The 6235-nt window shown below is 33.7% G+C and overlaps 1 annotated feature.

The window, feature by feature from the left end:
• Positions 5164–5665: an enhancer, noted in NCBI's record as "NANOG hESC enhancer chr8:137348736-137349237 (GRCh37/hg19 assembly coordinates)". NCBI's record gives its function as "activates a minimal SCP1, AML or CMV promoter by ChIP-STARR-seq in naive H9 embryonic stem cells {active_cell/tissue: H9 hESC(naive)}" and the evidence as "EXISTENCE:reporter gene assay evidence [ECO:0000049][PMID:30033119]".

The raw sequence follows: 6235 nt of genomic DNA, 5'->3' as shown, positions 1-6235 counted from the left end.
GATATTCCAATTACCCTAATTCAATTATTACACATTGTATAAAAATATGTACTCCAAAAATATGTACAAACATTATATATTATACCTTGGCTATTTAAGGTTCTTTGAATTTACATATAAATTTAGAATTAAGTTGCCAACTTCTATAAAAATTCCTGCTGAGATTATGACTGTTTGCATTAAATATATTTATTGAAGTATGTTATTATATTTCTCTCAGCAATATTTTATAATTCTCATGCAGATGTATTGCACATTTGTTAAATTAATCTCTAAATATTTTATATTTTATCATGTTACCATAAATGGACTTAAATAATTTCAATTTCAAATTTCGACTCTCAGTACCTAAATACATCATTGATTACTGTATATTGAGCTTATACTTTGCAATCATGCTAACTTTACTAATTTACTCCAAGATATAGTCCTCCTTATTTTCTCTATCCATGAGCATGTCATCTGTGAAAAAATAGTTCTACTTTTTCCTTTAAAATCTATATGCCTTTTACTTATTTTTCTCAGTATTGTATAGGACTTCTAGTACAAAGATGAATTGAAGTGGTGAAGTACGAGTTCTTGAATATTTTTCAGTCTTGGTGGAAATAATCTACTATTTCACCAATAAATATGATGCTAGCGATATCTTTCCAGATGACCTTTATTAGGTTAAGAAATTTCCTTTCATTCCTTGTATACTGAGAGATTTTCATCTTGAATGAATGCTAAATTTGTAATATGCTTTTGCCGCATTTACTGAGATGATTTGGATTTCAGGAAGATACACATTTAAATTTTTATATCTTCCTCATGTACTGCAGCTTTTATTATTACAAACTGTCCTTCATATGTAGTAATATGTCTTTTCCTGAAATCTAGGCTTTCTGATATTAATATTGCCACTCTGCTTTTTTTTGCTCACTGATAATTTACTCTCAGTCTACTTATGATTTTTAAAGTGCATCTCAATAGATATATTGTTGGCTATTTTGGTTTTATTAAGTCTAACAAACTTATTTTCCATTGGAATATTCATATATGTCTATATGAATTTATGTCTACTGTTTTACTATTTATTTTCTATTTTTCTTGTCCATTTTATATTTCTCTAAATCTTTTCTATGATCTTTGCTAAATTAAAATATTTTCAGTATTACATTTTAAGGACTTTTTGTCCTTTAAGTATAACCCTTTGCATTAATTTTAGAGGTTTTTCTTTTAAATTTAATTAGAATTTCTTTTGAGTGAATATTGGATTATATCATGTAGAATCTGGAAACCTGAAACAGTGCAGTTGCACCTCAACACTTTTGTGCCATTTATGTTATTATCATATATAGCATACCTAAGTACATTATATACTTTATAATCAGTGTTATAACATTCCATTAACAAAAATAAGAGAGTAAATAACATATAGATATAAACTTGTACATTTTTCCACATTTACCATGTCTGTTTCTTGTCATTAATTCCTGCAAATCTGAGTTAGTATCTGTGTCATTTCCTTCAGCTTGAACTTCCCGTAAGCATTTATTTTAGTGAAGGTTATGGGCAACCCATTTTCTCAATTATGCTTTACCTAAAAATGCCTTTATTTCATCACTGTTAAAAAAATATTTTGCTAGATACAGTAGTTGATGTAAACAGTCTTTTTCAGCACTTGACAGATTCCATTCAATTTTCTTCTGTCTTCCATTGCTTCTAGTGAGAAATCAGTTGTTACTTGTATCTATGTTCCCCTTTTTGTAATGTGAGCCTTCACAGTTTCTGCTTAACATTACCTTTCTGCAGTTTGAATATGATGTGGCTAGCTGTAGTTCTGTTTGTATTTATCATCAGTGGCATTTGCTGTGCTTCTTGGATCCGAAAGACAAATGTTTTTTTCTAAATTTGGAATGTCTTGGCCATTCTTTCTTTTGTTTTCCAACTCCTCCCCCCCAACTACTTTTGATGATAAGATTACTACTATGTTGAACTGATTGATATTGTTAGGTAAGCCTCTCAGGCTTTGCTCATTTTTTTCTCATCCATTTTTCTTTGTTCTTGTAACTGTGTTAATTTCTATTGGTTACCTTTAAGTCACCTGTAAATAAAGAGTTTTACATTCTATTGTATCCCATCAACAAGCCTAGCTAGTGTGCTTTTTATCTTATTTATTGTACTTTTCAGCTCTAGAATTTCTATTTGGTTTAACTTCTAGTGTCTACAATTCATACAGTGGTTAATCTTTCATCTATTTGTTAAAGTATATTTTTGTTTAATACTTGAAAATATTTACAGCAGCTGCCTTAAGGTTAGTGCGTGTGCTAGGTCATCTCAATGTCTGTCAATTTTTTTCTTTCCTTAGGCATGGCTCATATTTTACATTTTCTCTCTCTGTTTAGCAACTTTTAGTTTTTTGTACAACACTGTGAATAATATGTTATTAATCCCCTAGATTCTACTATATTCCCCCGAAATATTTTCCAAACTCGTGCCCACCATTCAGCAGGCAGTTCACTTGGGTGGATCCTACAAATACAGTGCACTCTCCCTTTCTCTCACTCTCTCTCTCTATCAATGAACACCAGCTGAAATCTGTTCAATTATTTCAGATTTTAGCTTCTGTTTGTTCACTGGATCTTGTGGATCTCTGAAGAACTCTCATGCATAGAGGTTAGGGTTTATGTATACGTTATTTGTGCACATCTTCTATGTGTTTCCTTCTGTTCCAGAGTTTTCTCACTTCAGCTTTCATCTATTCTCCTGGCTCCTAACTGTTGTCTGTACACCTCAAGCTAGTAAGACTATGACTTTTTACCACCCAAACAGCATGTTCTGATTGAGTAATAATCTTATGCAAAAAAAAAGGAAGACACAAACTATCAAATATCTTTGGTACAAATGATACCTTTCTCCAGTTGCTTCCTACTTTTAGTCACTTTGTTGTTGTTAACATTTTGTCCATGTTTTATAAATGTTATTTGTGAGCAAGGCAAATTACCCAAATCACTCCACCATTACAAGAAGATGTAAGTCTATTACATTGTTTCTAAAATCTTCTTTCCAGCTAAACTATAAATGTTTTATCTCCAAGTATCCATGTCTTTGACTTTTCGTTTTACTTCTTGGGGGCTTTCCTTTGCATTTGGCTTCATACACTTGTATTGCATTGATATTTATTTCTATTTCAAATGACATTGTTCTCATTTTTTTAGAGGCAATATCTGCTCTAATCTTTCTGGGAACATCAATCATTTTTTAGAAGTTTCATTCTATATGAAATTTAAATATTTCACATAAGAGGCAACAGAGATTGGCAGGATTAAGAATTTGATCTGGGTCTATATTTCGTCTATAGTTCTAACAAGGTATGGAAATTTGGAAAGCTGCTGCTTAATAAGAGTTCAACCAAAGGAAATAAGATATTAGCCATAAATAAAATAGATGGACTATACAAACGGAATTAGATTCATAGGTGATGAAAGAGGCTGAGAGGTTGAGCAATGTAAAATGAGGCAACTAAAGTATTAGCAAGAAAAGGTGCCTCTATTATCTCCTGGTGGGGCAAAGGAAGGAGCTATTGTTATTAGAGTCTATGCACTAACCTGAAAGTCGAAATCAAGGTGGATATGTCTGCTGAGAGATGAACCCTCACCATAGACACTGAGGCTATCTCATAATGCAGCAGCTAAGTATACAAAACATACAATATACCTTGTGCTCAGGGCACAAAAGGAGAAGGAGAAGTGTCTTTCCTTTTCTTTCCTCCTGACTTTTGACAGATTTCTAGTGCCTCCATTGGCCAAACTTCCTGGGAGATAGCTGACATAGCTTTTTGGGAAATATGGCCTGATGTTACCAATTAAAACAACAAAAGGACCAGGAGTATATATGAAAGCAGACAGTACTATAGGGACCACACATCTATTTAAACTTTAATTTATTTTGCTTTGAAATAAGGATCTCAATTCCTAACATTAGATGCTTGAGGGAAGATTAATACAATAATATATACCACTTCCTGGCGCATAAGTAAGAAATTAAAAATGTTAGGTAATTGTTACTTATATAAATTCACGCAGCCATTTTTACAATGAGAAGAGATATATTAATGTCACTGAAAGCGCTGAAACATGTATTTTTGTGGCAAATTGCAAAAAAAAAATGGCTACAAATGCCTCCCACTCTTTTATGCACATGCTTTCAAAATGTGAGTTTGTGAGACATTCAGTTCCTGATATGACATGCAGAGCTTGGAAGTTGTCACCCCCGTCTTCACAGAAAAAAACTGCACAAACTGACAATCAACAACTATTCTTATATTCTTTAAGGATTGATGTCAGTGGGCAAACTGCTGTCTCCAAAACTGGAGGGACAGTTGGATGCGGAGCATCACAGCTTGTCAGGAGCAAGAGTCCACAGCTGGAGCCACTGTTGTTAGGGTCATTGCTGGAGGCAGAATGTTTACCAACTTATGAAATAAAAACCCTAAAGGGGCACAATGCAGATGGACCCCATACTTTTACGTTTGACCTCCAGGAATCTAACCAGGTACTCATTACTAAAATTAGAGAAAAATTTTATTATGCTTCCAGCACTGGGAGAAGAAAATAACCATTTTGAAATATGTCCAGAGCTTGCTATTTTCCATAACAAGACCTGCTTTCAAGAAGAAAACTACTTTATTAAAGCCTGTCTGTGATTTTTCCAAAGCCTATCCAAACTGGGAGAATGAAAATACCCAACTCCAGCCCATTCTAGCATTCAACTTGAATAAACAGAAATATCCAGCTCCAGCACCCTTCAGCCTTTGACAGGGGGAAGGAAAATATCCAACTCAGACTCACTAAAAGACTGAGACCTCATCTGATGATGACAGAATGCCTCCCTTCCCTCACATACACCTTGCCACCACATCAGTTTGGCTCCTGTATAGCAGAGGATTGCAGATAACAGAACTGCAAGTCGCAGACTTCATGTAAGGAATCTCTAGGAAAATCCAAAGACAACAAAGGAGAAAAAAACAAGGACACAGAGGTAATTTTAGCTTCTGACAACACCGCTCTACCAAACACTAGGCACAGTCTAACTCCAAGCTGGATAAACATAGAACTTTGCTCTAAAGGCTTGACTACCTCAATTCATTTTACCCAATACATCATGTCTGACTTAAAAAAAAAAAAAAAACAGGATATGCTACAAGCAAAACTACAGTATCAAGTAAAAAAAAAAACCAAATGTCAGAATCAGATTCAAATATGACAAAGATCTGGGAATTATTAGAATGGGAATTCAATATAATTATAATTAATAGGCTGAAGTTTACAGAGGGCAACTAAACATGTGAAAAGATCCTCAACATCATTTGTCTTCAGGGAATTGCAAATTAAAACAATGAGGTGCCATTACATACCTGCTGGAATGTTTAAAATGCAAAATACTGGCAACACCAAATACGAATGGGGATGTGGAGCAACAGGGATCTCATTTATGCCTGGTATGAGTATAAATGGTATAGCCACTTTGGAATACAGGTTGTCAGTTTCTTACAAGATAAACATAGTCTTATTATAAAATCCTGCAACTGTGCTCCTAAGTATTTACCCAATAAGTTGAAAAAGGTAATGCTCACACAAAATCCCGCATAGGAACATTTATAGCAGCTTTATTCATCTTTGTCAAAAATTGGAAACAACCAAGAAGTCCTTCAAAAGGTGAATGGAGAAACAAGCCATAATGCATCTACTGAATGGAATATCATTCCACAGTAAAAACAGTGAGTTCTCTACTCATGAAAAGACACAGAGGAAGCTTAAAATTTTATTGCTAAATGAAAGAAGTCAGTCTAAAATAATTGCATACTATATGATTCCAGCTATGTGACATCTGGAAAAGAAAAGATCTGTAAAACTATGGAGAAAGTGAAAATATCAGTGGTTTCCAGTGATTAATGAAGAGAAAAGAATGTATAGGCAGAGCACGGAGGATTTTTAGGACAGTAAGACTATTTTTTTGTAATACTATAATAGTGAATACATGACATTATGCATTTGACCAAACCCAAAGAACTAGACAACAAATAAAGTTAACTCTAATGAAAGATATGCACTGTATTTGATAATGAGATATCAATATTGGTTCATCAATTGTAACCACACACATACCACACTAATGCAATATATCACTATAGAGGAAGCCATGAGCAAGGCCTGGGGGAGAGTGAGTGTATGGAAACCCTACTTTCTATTTG

This window comes from Homo sapiens, chromosome 8 (assembly GCF_000001405.40).
Source record: "Homo sapiens chromosome 8, GRCh38.p14 Primary Assembly".
Lineage (NCBI taxonomy): Eukaryota > Metazoa > Chordata > Mammalia > Primates > Hominidae > Homo > Homo sapiens.
Note: the sequence above shows the minus strand (reverse complement) of the source record. Positions and strands in the feature narration are given on the sequence as shown.